General features: G+C 36.6%; 1 protein-coding gene across 28 annotated transcripts in view; it reads right to left on the bottom strand.

Annotated features, from left to right (window-relative positions):
• The window catches only part of BCKDHB (branched chain keto acid dehydrogenase E1 subunit beta), a 360,067-nt gene that overhangs the window by 293,504 nt on the left and 40,813 nt on the right, over positions 1-25,750 (bottom strand). For 22 of the 28 annotated variants that reach the window (XR_001743546.3, NR_187564.1, NM_001318975.1 and 19 more), the window contains exons 4-6: positions 5,362-5,495; positions 4,143-4,298; positions 1,783-1,891 (exon numbers count right to left, since the gene is read on the bottom strand). Coding sequence is in view for 21 of the 28 variants with exons in the window: in NM_001318975.1 (NP_001305904.1) it covers positions 1,783-1,891; positions 4,143-4,298; positions 5,362-5,495 (399 nt within the window). In the remaining 7 variants the exon portion in view is untranslated. Of the gene's footprint in view, positions 1-1,782; positions 1,892-2,956; positions 4,299-5,361; positions 5,496-25,750 lie in introns of those variants that run through there. The other 6 variants (NR_134945.2, NR_187562.1, NR_187563.1 and 3 more) reach the window with 3 other exon arrangements.

Here is a 25,750-nt window from a genome sequence, read left to right as displayed (position 1 = left end):
ATCCTGTAAATGTATTTGCCTGACCAATTCTGGTTTCAAAATTTGCAGCAAAGTAAATATTACTTTTTCAAATCTTTCTTACTCAGTTGCCATTTATTAAATACTGCAAAATTTCTTTACTGATTGGCTATAACAGCTGGCTGGCATTATAACTATAATAGCCACAGGATATCCAAAGTATTAGAAATCCTTTTCATCAAAAAGCTATTCACAATATATCATTGATATTTTCCTATTCACTTCAAAATTTTAAATTCTTACATTCATTTTTATTACATAATGGGATACAGACTATAATAGAGTCCATATAAATCTAGAGTCAATTTAAAATCTGTTTTTAAACTTAAGAGCAACAGGAACTCTGAAAAATCTCCAATGAAAGTGTAAAATGACACATCCACTTTGAAAAACTCATCACAGAGGAATGGATACATTGAAACAGAAGCCCAGTTGCATGGGCCATGAATTAATTGTGATCTATTCATACAATGAAATGCTACTTATTAAACAATACTGTACACGCCTCAGATTTTTGGGTGTTCTTTTCCCCACAGCCAAGAAGCATTTATTGGCAGGCTGGCTCCAGAAACATAGTTGCAATATGCTAATACTATTCACAAAAAATTACCTTGATGAAGAGGGCCAAGCTACTTTCCTTAGTAACTAGAATACTTAGAAAAATAAGAATAACAAGAAAAATTATTATTACTTAGTAGTAATAATACTATCAATGAACAATGAATATTCGTATGATGTAATGACAATGTTCATTATTTAGTAGTAATGTTCTAATATTGTACAGTTGTAAGATATTATTGTAATAGAAATGAACAGTGAATATTCATCCAATATAATGACCATGTTCCTTACTAAGTAGAAATGTTCTAATATTGTACAAAATTGTAATATTATTGTAATAGAAATGAACAACAGATATTCATACAATGGACTACTACTCAGCAAAGAAAAGTGAATAAACTACTGATACAAGCAAAAACATGAATGAATCTCAAAAGCATTAGGTTGAGTAAAAGAAAGCAAACACAAAAGAACATATGCAGTGTGCATGGATTTATATGAAGCCCAAACACATGTACACCTAATCTGATGGCAATCAGAAAGTGGCTGTTTTTGGCATAGGGAGAATGGATCCATTGTGAAGAGTGAGGAAGAAGCTTCCAGGAGTGATTAAAATGCTTTAGACAGAAAAAAATCATTTGCTATTTAAAATTTCCATTACAGTGAAGAAATTAGCAGTCACAGATGTATGTTTATAAAATCAGGATTTTGAGCTAAAAAGAGGATGACCAAACACCTTAGTTTGCTTTACACAGTCATCCCAGCATAGACCTGACAGCACAGCATAATTGTTAACAGCACCTCCTTCACAGTCAAAGGTATCCTGATTTAAATGAAGGAAGACCTTTATGGTCACTTTAGTTAAAAGGAAACATATACTATTTAGTAAAATGAGCTCATTTACTTTTCTGTTCAATCCATATTTACTAAGCACCTACTATGTGGTTAAACATAGTCCCTTTATTGTTGCTACCACTTCAGATTTCCTCTTTGTTTCCACAATCAAAATATAAAATGGCTAGATGAATTTTTCCCAAACATAAAATTTACACCTGAGGACAAACTAAATACCAAAAAAATCAAGATTCTTTCTACAAGGAAAATATAAATCAACCATATAGAAAAAAAAGATATAACTTTTAGAGCTATAAAAAACAAAGTATATAAAGATATTCACAAATATAAAATAAAGAAAATCTTTACCTGCTGCCCTGTAAAGTATTTTAGGTTCAAAAAATATACAAGGATTTTTATCCTCTATGCATGACAAAAGAAGTCCTTTGGCCTGGAAAGGGCTTCTGGGTATAACCACCTGCAAAAACAGATTTTTTTAAGACAATTTTAGTAAAAATATATCCCAGTAAACTCGCTGCTAAGAAGGGCTGATATTTAAATAATCAATTGTTACTAATTAAAAATAGATATTGGCTATTTATTTTAAGCCTAATTATCACTTATTAAGTTTACATATTATATAAAAATAAAAATGCCTCTTATTCAACAGATATTTATCAGATGTCTACCATGTTCTGTTAACTAAGATACTACTCTTAAGAAGCTAAACTTGCCTATATAAAAAAAATAAAAAGAATATGCAAAGATCATTCATCAAAGCAAAAAACTGTAATATTGTTAATATCTACCTGTGTTTATCTATGAAGAAATCTCTTCTACTAATAATCTGTTTCTACTTTCAAAGTACATGCAACTCTCTTCTCCAGTTTTAACATGTCAAAATCTTCTTTTCCCATGAAAAAAAATATGGTCTTCATTTCATAAGTGAAAAATTAGTCCACTGAGTTTTACAGTCCAGGCACCATAGTGTCCAGTTATATAGCAAAGCAAAAACAAAAGTGTGGATAGTCCACACTTCCACTCACAGGAAAGGGCTCCAGGACCTTCTCGAGAATGAGGGTGATGACAAGGAAGATGATAATGACAGTAGGAAGTACACGTGTAAACTTGGCCAAGCACTCTGTGAATTAATTCATCTGTTCATAGCAACCCCACTAGGTAGCTATTATAATGTTCCTCATTTTAGAAATAGACACTGAGGTTTAGAGAGAACAAGTAGCTTGCCTAAGGTCACACGACTTGCTTGATCAAAGAGTCTCACCCAATTCCCACTGATACCAAAGCTCAAGCTCTTAACTTCTATCTAATGTTGACTTAAATCACAAACTTTGTCTAATTTTAAATGATTATAATTGTTTAAAGACAAATATTATATAGGAAGAGTTATTAAAATAAACCTGAACTTACCACAAAGACTTAAGATTCCCTGAGGCAAACTATATTTGGCTTTCAAAGCCATTTTTATGCCATTTTTATTGAAGGGTTTTATTTTAAAAATAAAAGAGCAGCAAAAATGTCACTATTTTCTGTATAAAAAATTTTATTTTCTGTTCTGGACCTCTGAACACATTAATAACCATATCACACAATGTCTTTATCTTATGTTCCTACTTTTTAAGTTCCCTTCATCTGCTTTCTTCATATTAGCCTTTTGTACTTTAAGTATATTTTCATTTCAGCTGAAAAAAAAAGGAAAAAGGAAGAGGAAGAAAGAAAATGAAGGAGGAAAAGAGAAGGCAGGGGACAGACAGAAAAGATCTGTTCTTAAAAACAATATAATGTTATAAATATTAAATGTGAATTAATGTTTAGCTCAAGCACAAAAATAACTTGCCTCGCACATGGCTTCTTTCCCAGTCTACAACTTCTAGCTCACATTCAAAAATCAGGCAACATCTACTCAACTAAGATAAGCTTATAACTTTGATCTGGTAGAAAAAACAAATAAGAAAAAAAGAATAAAACATAGACACATGCTCACAATCAATTCATGTGGTCAAAAAACAAATATACATCTCTGGATTCACACATCTATGGGTTTCTACAATGATCCCCTGAAAAGCTTATTCAGTAAACAGAAACAGAAAAGATAATACAAAAAATTAAGACATAAAAAACTCAAAATATTTTTACCATCAAAAGACCTAAGCTTTTGTGAAAGACAGGTTATAAAAAGGAGATGCTTCAAAATTAATTGGTTGAGCAAGTATTACCTAACTTTAAACAGAAAAAAAAAATCTAGGTAACAGTCTTCTCTTAGTCTTTTTAACAAGTAAGAAATACATTAAAAGCAAAAGTGTTATCCCTGTGACTTTGAGGTAAATACAGACTAAACAAAAGATTTATTAAAATCACCCCATCATCAGTTAAGTGAGAAAGACTTAAGTTAGAAAGAAATATAAAGCTTTGAAAGAGAGGGGAGGTAAACCAACTATGTTCTTGGTCTTATTCTTTGAAGTCTATAAAATTAATCAATGCCAGAGTTTATAAAACCAGTCCTCCTTCAAAAAGAACTTGCTGTAAAACTGGGCATTGGATAGCATACTTAAAAGAACTGCTAACCTCCCCTTCTTAAATACAGTTAAGTTCACATAAATTCCAAGAATCCTGTTTGTTTTCTTTCCTCTAGATAAGCATAGATATTAAATAGAATGAATCAAAATGGAAACATCAAATAGAAATCAAATAAAGTACATAAATGAACATACCTTGATTCCTGGGCAATGGGCAAAAAATGCTTCAGGACTCTGAGAATGATAGAGAGCCCCATGACCAACACAGCCCCAAGGGGACCGGATAGTGAGGCTTCCACAGTTAAAAAGATCCCCAGAGCGATAGCGATACTTGGCAGCTTCATTAACAATCTGAGGGTCAGAAAGAAAGACGGGGCATGGCACAATGAGTCCTTCCCTTCCAATCTCCTTCCGTTCTTCCTCCCTCCCTCCCTTCCTTCCTTCCCTTCCCAAGGCACAATGAGTCTTTCCCTCCCTCCCTGCCTCCCTCCCCCTCTTCCTTCCTTCCTTCCTGCCTGCCTGCCTTTCTTTCCCATAGCACAATAAGTCTTTCCCTCCCTTCCTTTCTTTCTTAAGACAGGGTCTCGTCCCTCCCTCCCTCCCTCCCTCCTTCCTTCCTTTCTTCCTTCCTTTCCCATGGCACAATGAGTCTTTCCCTTCCTTCCTTCCTCCCTCCCTCCCTTCCTTCCTTCCTTTCCCATAGCACAATGAGCTTTTCCCTCCCTCCTTTCCTTTCTTTCTTGAGACAGGATCCCATCACTCCCTCCCTCCCTCCCTCCCTCCCTCTCTTCCTTTTCTTCCTTCCCTCCCTCCCTCCCTTCCCTTCTTTCTTTTTGAGACAGGGTCTTGTCTTTCCCTTCCTCTCTCCTCTCCTCTCTCCCCTCTCCCTTCTTCCCTCTCCCCTCTCTCTCGCTCTTTCTTTCTTTCTCTCTTCTTTTCTTTTTGAGAAAGGGTCTCATTCTGTCACCCAGGGAGTGCAGTGCTGCGATCACAGTTCATTGTAGCCTTGGACTCCTGGTTTAAGTTATCCTCCTGCCTCAGCCACCAGAGTAACTGGGATGACAGGTATGTGCCACCACACTGGGCTAATTTTTGTAGTTTTTGTAGATATGGGTTCTCATTATCATTATGTTGCCCAGGATGGTGTTGAACTCTTGGCCTCAAGTGATCCTCCCACCCTGGCCTCCCAAAGTGCTGGGATTGCAGATGTGAGCCACTTCACCCAATCCCAATCTATCTGCTTAAACTATTCTATTAGATCTTTAAATATATGCTCATAACAAAATTATAATTGTAATACATTAGTAAAAGGATAATAAAATGTTTAGAATGCAGGTAAGGGTGGGTGGAAGGGTAGCGGCAATACTTGAATATTTCAATGAATGAACAACCTTAGAAATGTTCATTCACTTACCTGATCAAATGCAGGGAAAATATAATCTGCAAACTGAATTTCCGCAATGGCAGTAGCTCCAGTGACCGCAATTCCGATTCCAAATCCAACAATTCCTTGTTCACACAATGGGGTATTAAAAACTCTATCTTTTCCTTAAAATAGAAAAGAAAAAAAGGTTAATGTGGCAAATGAGAGTAATGTCATGCATAATACATTTAAAAATTCAGTAAACTAATAATGGGATGGAGAAGTATAGAACAGGTAGAGGAAACAGAAAATAAAGAGTATGGCTAGCCACGGTGGCTCACACCTGTAATCCTAGCAGTTTGGGAGGCCAAGGCAAGAGGATTACTTGAGACCAGGAGTTCAACACCAACCTGGCCAACATAGTGAAAACCTGTCTCTATTAAAAAAAAATAGTAAGGTGAATTATTTAAATCCAATTAATAATTGTATTAATTGTAAGTAATCTAATGTTTCAATGAAAATAAAAACTGTCACACTAATTTAAAAGAAAGGAAAACCCAACTATTTGAAAGGAAACACAAACTCTAAAGACAGAGAAAGGTTGTTAAAAAAAAGAAAAAAGAAGGAAAAAATAGACAATAAAAAACCTAACCAAAAGAAAGTTGATGTCACTATATTAATAGCAGGCAAAGTAGACTTTCAGGAAAAAAACATACCAGAGATAAAGAGGGAAAACGCATACTGTTAAAGGGTTCAATTCACAAGAAATAAATAATTCTAAATCTATACTTATCTAACAATGGGCTCCAAATAAATGGAAAAAAGCAACACAACTAAAAGGACAAATGGACAAAATCACCACATAGTGGGAGATGATTTTTTAATGTACTAGTCTTAATAACTGACAAAAAAGGCATACCAAAAAAAAGGAGGGAGTGTGAAAAATAGAGATGATTTAAACATGTTCAACAAACATGGCCTAACTGACATACAAAGGACACTGCACCCAGAAGCAAAGAATACAAATCCTTTTCAATTAAACAGAAAACACTGACATCAATTGACCATATACTGGACTACAAATCCAATCTCAACAAATTTTAAAAGATGAAAATTACATATATTCTCTGACCATAGTGTAATTAAGTTAGAAATCAATAAAAAGATCATTCAAAAAATTCTTATGTTAGAATTTTTTTTTTTTTTGAGATGGAGTTTTGCTCTTGTCACCCAGGCTAGAGTGCAATGGCGCAATCTCAGCTCACTGCAACCTCTGACTCCTGAGTTCAAGCCATTCTCCTGCCTCAGCCACCCGAGTAGCTGGGATTATAGGCGCCCACCACTACACCCAGCTAATTTTTGTATTTTTAGGAAAGACGGGGTTTCACCATGTTGGCCAGGCTGGTCTCGAACTCCTGACCTCAGGTGATCCACCCGCCTCGACCTCCCACGGTGCTGGGATTACAGGCATGAGCTACCGGGCCTGGCTAGAAATTTTTTTTAATAAATAGCTAAGTAACTCACAGCTCAAAGAAGAAACTATAATGAAAATTAGAAAGTGGTATTTTAAATTGAATAATAATGAAAAAACTATACAAAATATCTTATTGAGGTTCTGAACGTAATGTCAGAGTTGCGTTTTTCAGACTATCCTTTCCACATTTAATGATTATAAACTCTGGGCAAAATAAAACAAACAACTATTTAAAGGCATTGAAGGGCCAAAAGTAGGCATAAACTGGAGTCTTGACTCTTGAAAGAAATTAAGCCCAGTGGATGACCATGACGTTCATAAGCCTTGTCCTGCAAAAGGACTCCCCAGTCTATGAGTCAGGACAGCTAAAATTCAAACAAATAGACTCAGTCTGGTTGATCTGAGGTGTCAGAAAATAGTCTGTGGCTACCAGTGGTTGAAAATTGAGAGACTAAATCCCTAAAAGAAGGGCACAGCATGGAGGAGCCCCAAAATCTGTGCAAAAACTGATCAAATCCTTGCCAACACTTGTGCCCACAGGACACTCCAAAAGCCCAGCAGCAAATAATCTCTCCCAGTTAAAAGAGCTGTGCCCACCAACAAGGAGGCAGATTTTGGAGTTTGAGACCCTTCAAATTAGAGAAGTTTGATAAACCCTTTAGACGATCCATTCGAACCACTAGGTACAATTTTATTAGCGTATAATTCAATTCTCACTTGACGTTTCACCACCTCTCAGCTCATGCCAGAATTTCATTAGAAATTATAATTTCAGGATTCTGGGTGGACAAAGACAATAGCCACAGTCTGGCCATGTAACCAAATGTTTTGGGAGAAACCTGGTATTCATATTTCACTTCCATAATCCAAGGATACCAGTTCTTTTTCATATATAGAATTCACTTTTAGCTTAATCATTTCCTTTGAATATGAACGAAACATGGGGCAGGTGTTGGGAAATGCCGACCAGACACATCCTGTAGTTTGCCAGGCTATAAGCAGCTGCAAAAACTGAAAGCATGATTCATACTCATCATGATCTGTGACTATCTTCTGAAATTGTGACCTCTATTCCTCATCAATTCCCTATTTGACTGTGAGTAGCTTGATAATCTTTGAAAATCTATGATTCCAGTGAACCAAAAACTCAGTGGTAGAAAATGAACGTAAATTCCAGCTGTCTCCCATGGAATTCACAGCCCTGGAATACCTGAACCACCTTAACCAAACTAGCAGCATTCTTATTGATTCCTTGCTAGTTCATGGGATTTAGATATTTTTCATCTCGGTAAGAAATATAGCCTTGTTGCCAATAGAAAGCAGAAAAAAGTGAGTTTCTCAGAACTCTCTTACCCCAAAACATGTTTGATTTGAGGAAATAGTTTAACAAGTCTCTCTGACAAGTTTCTATGATGTAGCAAAAAGTGCTTCAACATGAACTGTTAAAAATCGGTTTCTATTTTCTCCCAGATACTGATTGAGGAGAAGAGCACAAATAAGACACACAATATTGATGACTTCCTCTATCTTATAATGCAATTCATCCAATGTAAAGTTCCTGTAGTACCCTGTAAGTGTCCTGATAGATGAAAAAATACATGAGTGACTGCACTATGAGCCAAGAAAGACCTGGGTTTAAGTGTTACCTCCACGGATTACTAAACACTCTAAGGCTCCATTTCTTATGTGTAATAGAAAAATTATAACACTGAAAAGACTATAATAATTCATACATTTATTCAACAAATGTTTTTAAACTACTTAATATTATACAGACACTTTCCTAACAGCAGCAAACAAAACGAAAACATTCCTCATGAATGTTTACATTCTAGTCACAAGAAATGCAATAAAAACAAAATAAATGAAGGAAATATTTAGTTTGTTAGATGATGAACCAGGGGAGTAGGTGATGGAGGGAGGGAAACTACTATGATTTTTAAGGACATTGGGAAGACCCCACTGAGAGGTGACAGTTAAGCAAAGGGTTTAAATAAATGAGGATGTGTACCATGCATATATCTGAGAGAATAAATATTCTGGGCAGAGCGACCATCAAGTACAAAAACCATGGGGTAAGAAAATGTTTAATATATCAGAGGAAGGGCAAGGAGTCCAGATTGCCTGGTCTAGAGTAAAAGAAAGAGTAGTAGGAGATAAAGTCAAGGAGTTACAGGATGGAATGGGTAGATGATCAAGCAGGGCCCTGGAGGACATTGTAAACCCTCTTTTACTGTGAGAGCGAGTCAGAGAGCAGGTGAGTGAGAAAAACAGGAAGTTCTTGAGTACGGTCATGCCATTCTCTGAGCTGCATTTCAACAGGATCCTTCTGACTCGTATTTGGTGAATAGCCTGTCAATAGCAAGGGTGGACACAGCAAGATTGATTATCTGCTACTGCAATAATCCCAGTAAGAGATAACAATGCATAATAGCAGAGAAGGTGGAGAAATGGTGTGAGACTCTGGATATACTCTAAAGATAGAGCTAAAAGGATTTGCTGATGAAATGGATGTGCAGTATGAGTCACAGCAATACTAAGGATGATTCAAAGTCTTTTGGCCTGGGTAACCTGAAGGACAGAGTTCCCAGTAACTGAGAAAGGGAAAACTGTGAAGAAGCATGTTGGGTGAGAGATCAGCAGCTCAGGTTTGGAGATGTTTACTTTGAGATGCCCTCAGATATTCAGGTAGAGCTATCAATTAGACTGTTGGATATAAGTTGGAAGTCTTCAGCATAAAGACAGCATTTAATAACAAGGGATGGGATAAGATTACCTAGTAAATTTAAATAGAGAGAAAAGAAGAGATCTAAGATTGTAGCCTGGATACTCCAATGTTAACAAGACAAGCAGGTGAGACATAAATCAGCCAAGTTGAGAAGGAAAACAAGCCAGAGTTTGGAGGAAAACCAGGAGGAGAATGTGTTGTCCCAAAAGGAAGTGTTTCCAAGAAAAGAGTGATTAACTTGTGTCTATACTGCTATTAAAAAGTGAGATGAGGACTGAGGATTTTATCATTGGTGACCTTAACATGACCGTTTCTGCAAAGTAGGAGAGAAGAGAAAAAAAAAAAAAAAGCTTAATTGCAGTGACTTCAAGTGAGAATAGAGAATAGAAGCAGAGAAATTGAAGACAATGAGTAGTGACAATTATATGGAGAAACGGTGCTATAAAAGAGAGAAGAAGCCAGGCGCTATGGCTCACACCTGTAATCCCACCACTTTCGGAGAATCACTTGAGCCCAGGAGTTCAAGACCCTACAGCAAAACCCCATCTCTACAAAAAATACAATAAAAACATTAGCCGGGTGTGGTGGCACGTGCCTGTAGTCCCAGCTACTCAGGAGGCTAAGGTGGGAGGATCATTTGAACCCAGGAGGTCAAGGCTGCAGTGAGCTGAGATGGCACCACTGCACTCCACCCTGGGCAACAGAGTGAAATTCTGTCTTAAAAAAAAAAGAGAGAGAGAGAAGAGAAGAGAAAGGGAGCAGTCACTAGAGGGGAATATGGGGTCAAGAGAGTTTTGGGTTTTTTTGTTTTGAGATGTAGTCTCGCTCTGTCACCCGGCTGGAATGCAGTGGCACAATCTCCACTCACTGCAACCTCTACCTCCTGGGTTCAAGTGATTCTCCTTCCTCAGCCTCCCGAGTAGCTGGGATTACAGGCGCCCACGACCACGCCCAGCTAATTTTTGTATTTTTCGTAGAGATGGGGTTTCACCATGTTGGCCAGGCTTGTCTCAAACTCCTGACCTCAGGTGATCCACCCGCCCCAGCCTCCCAAAGTGCTGGGATTACAGGCGTGAGCCACTGCACCCAGCAAGACAGGTTTTTAAGATGGAAAAAATAACAGCATATTTGCAGGCTGATGGGAATGATCAGTAGAGAAGAGAACACTGATTATTTTGAGAAAATTAATAAAATGGAGAGAAGGAATAATAACTGGAACCGTGTCTTTGAAAAGGTGACAAGAGAAGAAGGGATCTACTGTGGAGGGGTTGATAGGAACCCTTACATTCTTTCAGAGTGCAGGAGGAAAGAAGGCATATGGGCATTGATGGTGGTACATGGATATATGCAGTGATAAGAGCTTATCCAAGTTCTTATTAGTGGCATCTATCCTTTCAGTAAAATGCAAAACTAAATTATTACCTAACAATAAGGATGGGAGAAGCTGTTTTGAGGAGGGGGAAAAAAGTATGAAATAGTCATCTGGGAGAATGGAAGACCGAATGGACCCGGAACATGCAGCATGATGGCAGGCAACATGAGTGCCCCGGAACTTCCCAGCCTTGAACTTAAAGACCAGTTGCATCATGGCATGTTTTGCTCCAGTGACATTCAGCTCAGGATTTACACAGAGAGATGGATTTAACTAGAATTAGATTTTGCCAAGCAAATATTGACATGAAATTTAAACTGGATGTAAAAGAAAGAAAGGTAATCAGGGAAATGAAAGACAGCAACAAGGTGGTAAAATCCGTGGCTTTTAAGAATCAATAAGGTCAAAAGATTGTTGGAATGGAGGTACTAGAAGCAGTGAGCTACAGTGAGATTCAAAATGCTAATCAGAGTTGAGGATGCTTCAAACTGAGATTATGCAGAGACCACTGTTATTGCTAATGACAAGAGTATGGCTGTAAGAATGAAAAGCTGATGTAGGATGGAGGATAAGATCACCAGAGAAGAAAAGGATAAGAAGCTGAGAAGCCAGAATATTGAAAAGACCATCCATGTGGACACTGACAGGAATGCTGGAGAGAGTGACAGTGAGCCAGGCTGGGAACAAAGAGGATCAGCCTGAGGTCCATAAGGACAAGGAGGGGGAGTGTCAGTGCTTAGCACTTACTTACCCGGCACACTGACAGCATTTAACATATTTTTAGTTTGAAAGGATAAATTAGATAAGGGGAGCTAGTTTCTTTGGATTTAGAAATCACATTTTTTTTTTCTGCCCCATTCTCAGCAACTGGATTGTCTTTTTCTACTTTCTACTCAGCTATTTGATATTTGGAACCAACTTTCTGAAATTCAATATATTAAATAGTGTGTATGTCATAAGATAATAATTTCACACAGCTTAGCTCAGGTAGTATAAAAAATTAATATTCCTAAAATATATAATAATTTAAGTCATTCATCCAAATGATGACTAAATTGTAGGATGTTGAAATTCCTATCTTTTAAAGGCAGTTGGGGTCTATAATGACACAGTAAGTTTCGGAGGCTCAAAGAAGTTGCAAGAAGGAATCTATATCAATCAAAGTGCTGCAAACCAAGCTCAGCAAATGTTTAATTCAGTGGTTAGTGGCTTTGACCTCATGTGAAGGAAAAAACTATGCCCACTCTGAAACAGTTCCTCAATGCCTAGCAGCTTTGATTGGGCAAAAAAAAGTAAATACCATCTGAATTACTTCTTTCTAAACTCAGATAGCTGAATAAAATGAAAATTTCTGATAAACTTGTTGCTGATCAATAGTATAGATAACTAAAATAAAAGAAATAAATATTTCTATAACATGCCATTTTCTTATATTGTGCTACTCCTGCTTTGTATAACTCCATGATCTCCCAAGTCAATGAAAACATGTGTGGAATGCCAGATGGCTGACTGTATATTTGACTTATCAATTTCTCACTTGTTGAAGATCAAGTATAAAATCATACCATCGCTTTCTAATAGTGTTCTTCTTTTGTAAAGGGAGCATGATTAAGAAGTTCTACATCACTGGCAGTACACCATCTGTTAAAGATATTGTCCATTACACAATACTAAACTTCATATTAAAATCAGCAGGTGACTCCTCTTGCTAAGCAATTAGAAATGGGTAAAATTGAGTCCACCAGTGAACCCTATTCCCTATCTAACATTCAGCCACAACTATAGACCAGAAAAATAGGGAAAAGAGGGCAGAGAAACAATTAAGAAAAAGAAGCCGGTGTGATGGTTCAGGCCTGTAATCCCAGCACTTCGAGAGGCTGAGGTGGGCGGATCACTTGAGGCCAGGAGTTCGAAACCAGCCTGGCCAACATGGCAAAACCCCATCTCTACTAAAAATACAAAAAATCTGCCAGGTGTGGTGGTGCATGCCTGTAAACCCAGCTACTTGGGAGGCTGAGGCAGGAGAATCGCTTGAACCCAGGAGGCAGAGGCTGCAGTGAGCCAAGATCACACCACTGCATTGCAGCCTGGGAGACAGAATGAGAAAAAAAAAAGAAAACGAAAAAGCATGACTTAAGGTGACAGCCTATTACCTCCTGATAGGTTAAAGGAATCACTAAGAATCTGTTTCTTCTGTCCCTAGACATTTTTCAGAAGCTTTAATTAGTTTTAGAGTTTATCTATGAACAAAGTAGATCTGCAAGTTATTAAATCTATCTGGGATAAAATTAAATTTCTTCTTTCCATTATGGATTTCTGTAAAAGATTTCTGTAAAAGCAGATTTAAAACTGTCTATTTCTAAGCAAGTTGTGTTTCCTCAGGACCTAGATTTGAATAGGTCGGAATATCCTTCTGGAAAATGATTGACTCCATCAGGGAAACAGCTCAGGTCCCAGTCTCTGAGCAGAAAGATAAATAAGAACATAAATATTTGTGACTAAGCTACAAAATAAACCAGGGAAATAAAAGTCATTATAGACACAATTGTAACAGTGGGAGACAGAAATAAATAATACATCCAGTAATTTCAGTCATAGTATACTTGATAGAATATGTTGTGATTTCACAATATATTAAAGCTTGATGATGAAAAATTTGATAAAGATAAAACGCATTTGTTTTAGGGTCAACTAAAGCAAAAATACAAAGCTAATCCAGAAGACCATTTCTGCCTCTTAAAAAATGGAAAACAGAACATTCTATTCATTAGACAGGCCAGAAAAATGCTTAAATAATGAATATGCACGCAAATTTAAAAAATTACTAAGTAGAATGACAATACAGTTTATCTTGTATTGGGATACAAACTGGGATACTTCTGAGACTGTGAGGAGTTACTAAAAATAATTAACAGATGTTAGATGCTAACTGATTTTTTTTTAATCTAGTCTCTGTACTAGTTGAGAAGATAGTTTTTTTGTTGTTTTTTTGGGTTTTTTTATACTTTAAGTTCTAGGGTACATGTGCACAATGTGCAGGTTTGTTACATATGTATACATGTGCCATGCTGGTGTGCTGCACCCATTAACTCATCATTTACATTAGGTATTTCTCCTAAGCTAACTGATTTTCAACAGGCTTAAACTGGGTATTTCTAGGCAAACAGGACTAACCTGGGTAAACCAAGGGTTATAGTCACCTTATTATTAGAGTTACCAAATATTAACACCTAAGTTGAAAGTAGTAAAGGGAAAATGGTGTTCCCCTTACTCACACCTAATCCACCACATATTAGCATCGTAAATTAGGCTACTCATGATCCAGAGGTAGAAAATGAAAAAGAACACTGAATAAGCAATCCTGTCATCAAGGTAATCGTCACAGTTTACTGCCTAGGGTGAACACTATGATGCATGAAGCCCAGATCACCCATTTGTGAAGATCACCCACCATGTTGCCTTGGTTACTAAGAAATCTGTTGGCTGACAGATATCAGCACTTCAGCTATCACACCCTTTAGGGTCTGTTTTATCTGCAGTGAACTTCCTAGACTGAGGTCATGCTTGGCATCTCCCATCCACTGATTGATCAGTGTGAGAGTACAAAGGCCTGGTCATTTCAGCCCAACTAGGGACAACTAGTTGGCAAAAGAGTCATTCTGATTGCACAGATCCCACAGGGTTGGCCAAGGCTGTCATTGGTCTTGCATCTCTTCTGGACATCTCCCTCTATCTAATTCTGCTTTTGCTTTAAAGCAGCACTATTTTTATGGTTCTAGAATATGACAGGTTCCAAGGTTTCCAGATTTAGGAAGTTTACCTATAATTATAATTATCCTACAACAATATTCTTCAAATTGTTACCTCCAAGAAGCATTGTTTAGAAATAGCTGTTTGTGAACCTTGTCCTACAGATTCTACCCTATTATTCTGAACACTCCAAGGCAAGATATCTGGGTCATCGTAATGGCTAAGAGACAAATTAAAGAAGATAAAAATCAACCAGAAACAAATGTATGTGCTTAGTAAATGCTTACTGAATGAATGTTTATTAAATGCAAAAGCCCCTCTGTAATCAATGAGTCTGCAATTCTGGGTATAGATACAACAATGTCAACACACAGCAAAGCCCAAATTAGTTTCAAGGGTTCAGTGACTGGATTAAAATTTCTAAGCTCCTCTGCTAAGAACACAGACTGTCTCATTCATTTCATCAGTAGTCCAATAGTGCCTACTACAACCTCTTGAATTTACCAGTCTTTCAGTAATATCGTTTGAATGAACAAGCTTAAAAGACCCATCATTTTGGACTAAAGAGACATTTATGTCTATGGCAATCATGACGTGGTAACACCAAGTACTAAGATATCTAGATATGTCAGCAAGACAGATTTAGTTTAGTTGAAATAGATATGTACTATGTAATATAAACATGAAATTTTTCATTTAAACAATTAGAAAATCTGACAGTGAAGAGAGACTATAGGCCCACCCAAATATAAAGATTCTTGGCCGGGCGCAGTGGCTCACACCTGTAATCCCAGCACTTTGGGAGGCCGAGGTGGGCGGATCACCTGAGGTCAGGAGTTCAAGACCAGCCTGACCAACATGGAGAAACCCTGTCTCTATTTAAAAAAAAAAAAATACAAAAAAAAATTAGCCAGGTGTGGTGGCACATGCCTGTAATCCCAGCTACTTCGGAGGCTGAGGCAGGAGAACTGCTTGAACCTGGGAGGCGGAGGTTGCGGTGAGCCAAGATCGTGCCATTGCATTCCAGCCTTGGCAACAAGAGCAAAACTCCATCTCAAAAAAAAAAAAAAAAAAAAAAATTCTCACCCAATAATCTCCAGTGCCTAGAACAATCCCTTGTACATAGTGGAATTTTAAAAACATTTGTTCAATGTATGAATGAATGAAAAATGAACCCAAAATAGTAATATTAAAATAGAAATGACAGTCAAAAATCACAGAAACTAAAAATCAGGCCAGATAACAATATTTTGAATATGCAACTACCCACACACAGATCAGTGGATTATGTCATGATTTTAGGTAGCCATGTATTAGAGAAATTAATTTTTTTAATGACAGAAAAGGAGAAAAGTCACAATTTTAAGCAACCCATAGAAAATGAAATAGAAAACATCTAGTTGAAGGTTAGCTATCATGATTATGATACAATAATGTTCAGTATCATAGACTGAGGTTTCTCAAACCAAGTACTAGATATACAACTTTTAAGGGAAAAATGTGTTCTTACACTCCTAATGCCAACTTAAACCACTTTTAATATGTTATTTTAATACATACAAAACAAAACTTAGCATTTATTACCCTGATAAAAAGACAAAGCCAAAACAAATTTATAAATTAAATACAAAAGTAACTACCTAACCAATTAAATTCAAATTAACAGTAAAAAATATGGCATAATGAACAACGGTTTTCTGCTGAAATGTCAACACCAACAAAGCTTTGAGTTTGATAATATATTTAATCTCTTTCTGTTTTTGTTTTTACTTTAATCATTCTAATGAAAAGAATACCTATTCACCTAAATGCACTGTACACAACAGTACTGATAACCTCATGGCTTCCTTAACCAGTTAAGGATAATCAGACCTCGTTCCAAACAAAACCACTAACAAGCAGTCCTTGAACACTAATTTAAGGAAGTCACTTAAAGATATGGTTGGTATCACAGCCATATTGAATTCTGCATTATATGTGTGCCTTATTCAATTATCACTAGAAGCAAGTATAGAAAATTCTTTTTGTACTTACTGATACACTTACTTCTAATGATTGTTACAAGTTGCTCTATTAAAAAATGTAATCTTTCTTCTGCCTACAACTTGAATGTTATCTCTATAATGCAGGTTCTTTTGGGTGTGGCAAGCAGGGATGCTCCTAGCACTGTTTGTTATTTGAATCTCAGTGAAAGCCTCATACACTTCAGATAATATGAAGTAGTTGGCCTTCACATTACCATGAACACAATAATAAACACCAACACTAATTTTACCATGTGGTAGTATCTAGTTGCATGGCAAATGATTCAGATGACCCAGAAAAAGCTTATATTACCTTCTCAAGATTATCGTTGACAGTAAAACCCCAAATTTTAAATCTCATAGAAAATGTGAGAACTCTCAGAATACATTCATGGACACAGAGGGTTGGTTAACACCAGTTAAAGAAACAGTACCCCAGGCAGGGAGAAGGTGGACAAATAAAATAATTGACTCCACTGTTCAATTTTAGAAGAAAAATTCTACTTAAGACTAAGTTGGGGGGGAAAGTATTTTTTAAAACAAACTATCCATGGAGCTGTGGCAAATGTTTAAAAGCACTATTTTAGAAATCTCTCACGCATCCCACCAAAAAAACAACTAAGCTCCAAACAACCAAGCACTCAAAAAAAGAAAACCTAAAAAAAAAAAAAAAAACAACTTTGCATTATTATGAGGTAAATTAATCTTTTATTTTAAAATGAATTTCTAAATTAAGGAGAATATAAGTACATTCCTATATTGCATCTATTGGGGAAAAAAAGAAATTCAATGTTATATTTACCAGTAATCCCACAAGGGGTAAAAACGTGTTCTTTAAGTAAATTAAGAACAAAAGAATTAATGTGATAGAATCAATGTGATAATTCAATGATCTGTAAAAACTATGGTTGGGTATGAAAAGAGCACATAGAAAAACTAATTACAAAATGACAAAATCCTAGTGCTATTGAAAACCTTCCCACTAACCCCATAGTCTTCAAATAAGGAAATCGAATTGTTACTTAAGTGGTTAGCCCAAAGTCAATAGCCAGTAACTGGCAGCTTGATACCCGAATCAACAATTGCTTCCCTTTCTTTCTACTAGAGAAATTTATTTCCTACATTGTCTCTTGCAAACTACTCAAGTCACAAATGCTAAAATATATTAAATTAGACCTTGTTATCTGGCACCACAGCCACAAATACAAAACAGTTTTAAATAGCTAATCTGAATGTAATAAGTCTTTGAGGACAATGTCCTAAAATTCCATCATATGTTCTCCAAAAACCTATGCAAATAAGATAGCTACTATAAAACTGTCACAGTGCATGACCTAGCTACCAACAATGAAATAAAATAAAAAGCATGTTAAGAAAACAGGAATAAAAATGATCAGGAAAACTTCCTTAATCAGGAATATGTTTTTAAAGTCCTTTTAAAAAGGGCTACTTCAAACTTTGATTTAATAATAAATTGCATATCAAGATAGCACTGTTAACACTGTTCCACTATTACTCTGTGGAAATTTATACATGTTTCTATCTCAAAAAGGGAGTGTAAAATCTCCAAACTTGTGGGTAAAACTAAGATGTTACTGGTAACAAGGTGCCAAGCTGTTTTTACATAATCCACTTATTAAAGAAATGGGTATGGGGAAAGGAAACAATTAAATAGATAGAAGCCCTCGAATCAGTTCAGATTCAAGTGAAATTTCAAACTTACTATATCAATCTTATAGTTCAACAAATTATCTGAATTATCATAGTTATCAAAAAAATTAAAATGCTCTTGAAGTTGGGCACAAATTTTTAAAAGTACTTTTACTTTTTAATACATTATAAAAGAAATCTTAAAGTATAAAATAAAAATAATTTTGATACCTAAAATTTAGGTCTTCTTTTGTTTGCCAAGAAATTCAATTACTATTATCAATTACTAGATTAGAGACTACTAAAAATATGGAACATTGGAATGAAATTATCTTAAGATGAACAAAGTGCTGTTTGTCACAACTTAGATAAGATCTTTAATGAATTAGTTGTGTCCTAGGAGGGGGAGCAAACTGAAGATAATAGTCTCTCAAATATACCTTCCTAATCTTATTAGATAGATGTTGTAAGAGATAGTATCAAGCTCTCTCAAATCACCTCTTGCCACCACCAGAGGCTCTGATTCTGACCCAGTAAAAAATATCACTTGATATAATTTGTTTCATATGTACTTGACCATGTACAAAGCACTGTAGTTAGTTGCTACAAATGATAAAGGGATAAATAAAACACCATCTGTCCTCACGCAACTTACAATGCGATAAGTCAAATATAATTATGATGTAAGAAAATGACATACAAATAAAATGCTATTAGAGGAGAGGGGAATTCTTTTGGGCTTGGAGGACTCATACAAAGTTTTATGAAAAAGAAGACACTGAATTAGGCACTGAAGAATGGGCAGAATTTCGACAGGCACAGGTAGAAGGTAAAGTGTGACCAAAGGCAGGAAATAAGGGCAAACTCTGAGTTGGGAAGCAAACCAAGAAGGCTGAAGTATAAGAGGATTAAAAACAGTAGTGGGAGATAAAGATAGAAAGTTTGGTGTATATAAGCAAGTTACTACAGTGCTTAAAAGCATGGGCTCTGGCATCACGATACATGGGTTTAAATCTGGTTCCACCATTTACCAGTTGTGTGGTGTTGGATTGTGCTTCAGTTTCCTCATCCACAAAATCAGGATAAAAATAACTAACCTGGCTATCAATCAGAGCTGATCTGAGGATCAAATAAGATAAAGCACATTCAAGTGCTCTGCAAACCATAAAGCATTTTATAAGATGTATAATGCTATTATCAGGATAGTGTTGAGGAAAATAAGAAGAAGAAAGAATTTGAGAAACACTATAGAACCAACAGGACTTAATAGTTGTTAGTTGAGAGGCACGTGGCAGCCAAAAATCCCCTGACAATTGGCACTGAGAAGTACTGAGGACGTTGCATGGTCTTTAAGGATCCCAGACCATCAGCTGGAAGATCTCACTAGGCATGTACTGTGCTCATCCTCAAACTCTATCCACTATCCTCAAACTCTATCCACTCCAGCTGGAAGATGTCTACAGTACCTTGAATCACTCAACAATAAGCATTATCTCTCTATCTGGGATGAAGGGTGGGGTGGGGAAGGAAGTTCAGCCATGACAGCGGGGCTGTGACAGGCAATTCAAAACTATGAACCCAAATCCTGTTCCATTAGCAAGACCATGAATGGGCACCAAGGAGGCACACATCCAAAGATCTTCATCCAAAAATCCTGAGGTTTACCACTGAACAGAGGGAGGCTATAAACAGGAAGCCTGGCCACGGCTCACCTTCTGCAAAAAAGAGACCCCAAGAGTGAGAATGAAGGGCTGAAGATCAAAGGCAACTCCTGGATTAAAGAACAATGTTACTGCTGCAGCTGTGTATCTACAGCAACTTACAGACTACACAGGTCAAGGATTGAACCCAACCAAGGGGGCCCAAAGCCCTCCAAGCACTGCTTGGAAATGAGGGGCAACTGATCCTAAGAGATCACAGTTCTTTTCAAGCAAGCCTCCACTTAAAAGCCCTCACTCTACACTAGCCCCCTCAAGGGTCCCTGAGCTATATGCTGTGTGCTGTTTGCCATAACATTTGACTAAGGTCCATATGACAGACATGATGATCCACAAAGGTACCAGCATGAACCTGGAAGTACAGGACCAACTCACCATGCCAAGAGCCCCAGATATCTTCAGGAATTGTCAGTGCTAGTTTTGATAAGGCTATGGGCCCATAGAAGATATATTACAACTAATAATAAATCAACTACTAGTGTTTCTTAACTTTATGTAAGCTAAAATTTGCTTCCGTGCATGCTCAATGTGATTCTGAGATAAAATGTCTGTACTTTGGAAATCACCCTGTCATGAATGAAACAAATGATTATGACCTAAATGTTTGGGTGTCAGGGAATATGACTACATAACCAGTTAAGCTTAAATTAAACTCTCATTTAAGTGACTATTTAAGCTTGTTAGCCTCTCCTTTAAGTGACACTTGAAGAGAAAAACACAAAAACTCATTTCAGGCAAACTGATATTTACTATGTCCTTAAAAAAGAAAGAATAACAGTCTTGTCATGTAAGAAAGAAAAACTATTTCAGTCTTCTATCTTTTATTAAAATCAAGTTTATTTATGTACCTGTACAAATTTCTTAAATGGAGCAATCTAAAACCTAAGAGATTAAAGTTGGAGTTTGGAGGAATACACAATAAAAATGTAGTTTTTCAAATTAATGTACACATAGCTGATGCTGAATAAACAGATTAAAAAAAAAAAGAATACAAAAATATTTCTGAATAAACCTGTAACGACTCCACAGTGCTTGAATACAACCAAAGCTGTTTTTCCAGAAAATCAAAAGAAGTATTATCATCATCCTTGTGATACCAGCTTCAATTTAAGGGCAAGCCATTGAAATTTTTCTTTTTAATCTTCCTTCATTTATATGGAAATGAGATGTTTCCTAAAACATATCTGTACCCAGTACCTACGTCAACACCAGAGCTCAAAGCACACAAATTCCTCCAGCTGATTCCTGACTATAAGTGAAAACAGCATGCCAACATCATCTAAAACCCTTGTGCGTCATTCACCAAGGAGGACATTACCAAGCTGTCAATTTCAATTAACCTGCCTAGCTTTATAAATAGCCTAAACTGCTCTATCTAAATAGGCTGGTGCCCTTTTCTCAGAAACAAAGGGAACAATATGACAAAGCATGAAAAATAAATGAGCTTTCCCCTTTGTAAACAAGAGAAGGTTGACATTAAATGAATTCTAAGTCCAAACTGAGGACCTATTAATAAAAGAAAGCTCAAGAGAATGAAGAATCAGTTTTAACCTGAAAATAAGCAATATTCACTAACTATATCTGATATTGTTCTTTCAAAATATCTGAGTCTCACTGCTACTGGAACTAACTAAAGGCCCACATACAGGCGGTCCCAAATGCAATACAGTTTAAAAGCCCCAAATGATTAATGTTTGGCCAAAAACAAAAAAACAAAAAAAAAAAAAGTTAGTTTTAAAAATTAAATAATATCATTATATTCTAAATCTGAAATGTTTTCTAATTTTCATAACTTACATCAACTTTTCTTATGCTAGCTCTAAATGTTTCTGCATCTAAAATCAATTATAACAAACAAATCTTACACATCACTTCTACAATCTAATTACTTGTGTATAGTATTTTTCTAGTTCACACTCCAATGAGTAAATAAAAATAGAATCAGAAAACACATCAATAAGATGTATCAAAACGCAGAAATTAACTGGTACAGATCATTAATCAGGCTAGTGAATCCATTAGTCCATCTAATAATATTCCATTGTATAGAAAACACAGTTGGCCCATATTAATCTTAGGTAAAATACATGTGAATTCATGTGTGAATAAGTACACATATATGCACATGTATCATCCAAGTGATGCTTAACAAGCTTATTAAAAATGGCATAATATAACAGTGACATTTCACATATATTAAGGACAGTATTCAGCTCACTGAAATATCTAGGACTCAATTAAAAGCTAAGAAGTTAAATAAAAAAGATTTCTGAACAATCAAAAAAGATGAGGCTGGGTGTGGTGGCTCACGCCTGTAATCCTAGCACTTTGGGAGGCTAAGGCAGGCTGGTCACCTGAGGTCAGGAGAAAAAGACCAGTGTGGCCAACATGGTGAAACTCCATCTCTACTAAAAATACAACAATTAGCTGTGTGTGGTGGTGCACGCCTGTAATCCCAGCTACTTGGGAGGCTGAGGCAGGAGAATCACTTGAACCCAGAAAGCAGAGGTTGTAGTGAGCCAAGATCGCACCACTGCACTCCAGCCTGGATGACAGAGCAAGGCTCCATCTCACAAAAAAAAAAAAAAAAAAAAAAGATGACAAACTTGATTGACTATACTTAAAAGAGGTTCCTACTGTCACTCATATTAGCTTTAGAAAATTCCATTAGACATCATTCACTGATATGCAATATATTTACTGTATCAGTTAAATGAATCATCATTTTATTTCCTTTATTTGCACTATATCCTAGCTGGTTTCCCATTCTTCATTCATTCAACCAATCTTTGTGTTTGGCACTATTATGGGCATCGTGGGAGACAAGAAGGTGAATATTATATATAAGTAAATACATGGTTGAAAATAAGTATACTGAGTTACAGGTACAGTACTAGATGGAAATAGACAATAGTTAAAAGGAATTCTAGATAGCAAGGGCTATAAGAAGATGAGCAGGGTCCAGAATAGAGGTTGGATTTGAAGTGGAAAGAGAGGGCCTTCTGAGGGACAGAGCAGCATAAGGAAGGCAGACAGGCAGAGAAGACTGGGGACAACTGGTGGGTAGTGTGGGTGCAGCCAAGAATATGGGGGAAAAAACTTGAAGCTAGAAACAAAAGTCTTATACTAAGCTATGAAAACTGGACTTTACTATTTTTTTTTATTATTATTATGCTTTAAGTTTTAGGGTACATGTGCACAATGTGCAGGTTAGTTACATATGTATATATGTGCCATGCTGGTATGCTGCACCCATTAACTCGTCATTTAGCATTAGGTATATCTCCTAATGCTATCCCTCCCCCCTCCCCCCATCCCATAACAGTCCCCAGAGTGTAATGTTCCCCTTCCTGTGTCCATGTGTTCTCATTGTTCAATTCCCACCTATGAGTGAGAATATGTGGTGTTTGGTTTTTTGTTCTTGTGATAGTTTACTGAGAATGATGATTTCCAATTTCATCCATGTCCCTACAAAGGACATGAACTCATCATTTTTTATGGCTGCATAGTATTCCATGGTGTATATGTGCCACATTTTCTTAATCCAGTCTATCATTGTTGGACATTTGGGTTGGTTCCAAGTCTTTGCTATTGTGAATAGTGCTGCATGTGTGTGAATAAACATATGTGTGCATGTGTCTTTATAGCAGCATGATTTATAGTCCTTTGGGTATATACCCAGTAATGGGATGGCTGGGTCAAATGGTATTTCTAGTTCTAGGTCCCTGAGGAATCGCCACACTGTCTTCCACAATGGTTGAACCAGTTTACGGTCCCAGCAACAGTATAAAAGTGTTCTATTTCTCCACATCCTCTCCAGCACCTGTTGTTTCCTGACTTTTTAATGATTGCCATTCTAACTGGTGTGAGATGGTATCTCACTGTGGTTTTGATTTGCATTCCTCTGATGGCCAGTGATGGTGAGCATTCTTTCATGTGTTTTTGGCTGCATAAATGTCTTCTTTTGAGAAGTGTCTGTTCATGTCCTTCGCCCACTTTTTGATGGGGTTGTTTGTCTTTTTCTTGTAAATTTGTTTGAGTTCTTTGTAGATTCTGGATATTAGCCCTTTGTCAGATGAGTAGGTTGCAAAAATTTTCTCCCATTTTGTAGGTTGCCTGTTCACTCTGATGGTAGTTTCTTTTGCTGTGCAGAAGCTCTTTAGTTTAATTAGATCCCATTTGTCAATTTTGGTTTTTTGTTGCCATTGATTTTGGTGTTTTAGACATGAAGTCCTTGTCCATGCCTATGTCCTGAATGGTAATGCCTAGGCTTTCTTCTAGGGTTTTTATGGTTTTAGGTCTAACATTTAAGTCTTTAATCCATCTTGAATTAATTTTTGTATAAGGTGTAAGGAAGGGATCCAGTTTCAGCTTTCTACATATGGCTAGCCAGTTTTCCCAGCACCATTTATTAAATAGGGAATTGTTTCCCCATTGCTTATTTGGACTTTACTATTAAACACTGAGAAGATTTTAAGCAAAGAAGTGTTATGATCAGAGCTTTATTTTGGAAAATCAATCTCACAGATATTTTTAAATTAAATAAGACTAGGAAGGAGAGTGAGAACAAAGACTCATGATAATTGCTATAATCATTCAGATCAAAAGTACTGGGAGCATGAACTATGATAGTGGCAATGGGAACAATAGTGAAAGAAACCCCAAAGTAAAACCAGCAGAGCTTGACAGCTCTGACGTCTTAAATCTGAGCTGTTTTGAGGACCCAAAAGCAGGATCTAAGAGAAAGAGCTCAAAAGTCACCATACAGAAGAAAATGCAAGCAGAAAGGTTTCTACACTGATCTGAAACTAATAAGCATATATGCAGAAGGATGACTTTCACTTGAAATAAAGTAGATATGGACACTTCTTAAAAATGTCAGGACCACTTTTAAGCAAAAGGTGAGTGGAAAGCCAGAAAGTATCATGAAGACAATGGAAGCATTAGTTTGGTCAGTATCAGATGGCCTGCTAAAATAAGCTGGGATACAGAGTATAATCAAGCATTTCAGAACTAAAGAAATCTAAATGTATTCTACAATATATTACAGGATTTAACCTATCTCCTCAAAATCTCAGTTTTCTAATCTATGTCTGACCCTACTTTTCCATGAAAATTGCTTTTATTGAGGTCAGCAAGTACCAATGGCCTCCTAATTGTAACAACCAACAGGAATTTCATTCAATGTGTAACCCCTCACCACTGCTCTGGATCCTTGCCTCTCCATTCACCTCAACTTCAAAGAATCACAATCCTGTCAATTCTCCCTGACTGATGCCTCATCACCTATCCCTTCCCTCCACTACCACAATTTAGACTCTCATTACCTCTCAGATAGGTGCTGTGGTTCTCAGACCTGCAGCAGCTGCTGCTTCTGGAAACTTCTTAGCAGTAAAGATTGTTGGGCCCCATCTCAAACCTACTAAATCAGAAATCTTGAGGGTGAAATCCAGCATTCTATGATCTAAGAAGCATTCCAGGGGCCTCTGACGCACACCGAAGGTCACAACGCCTGGACTCAGGCATCATCTCACCCCCGTCTCCCTGCTTTTAGTCTCAGCTTCTCTACACTGTGACCACAGTTATGTTTTAAATTACAATTTAATCACTCAACTTACCACCTTCTCTGATTGTCTTCAAAATGTATGAACCTTTTTTAAACATAAAAAGTTAATAGACATCAAAGGTTAAATTATTTGTAATCTAATGCAACTTGAATTTGTA

Source organism: Homo sapiens, chromosome 6 (assembly GCF_000001405.40).
Source record: "Homo sapiens chromosome 6, GRCh38.p14 Primary Assembly".
Lineage (NCBI taxonomy): Eukaryota > Metazoa > Chordata > Mammalia > Primates > Hominidae > Homo > Homo sapiens.
This window is presented reverse-complemented; position numbering and strand designations above follow the sequence as displayed.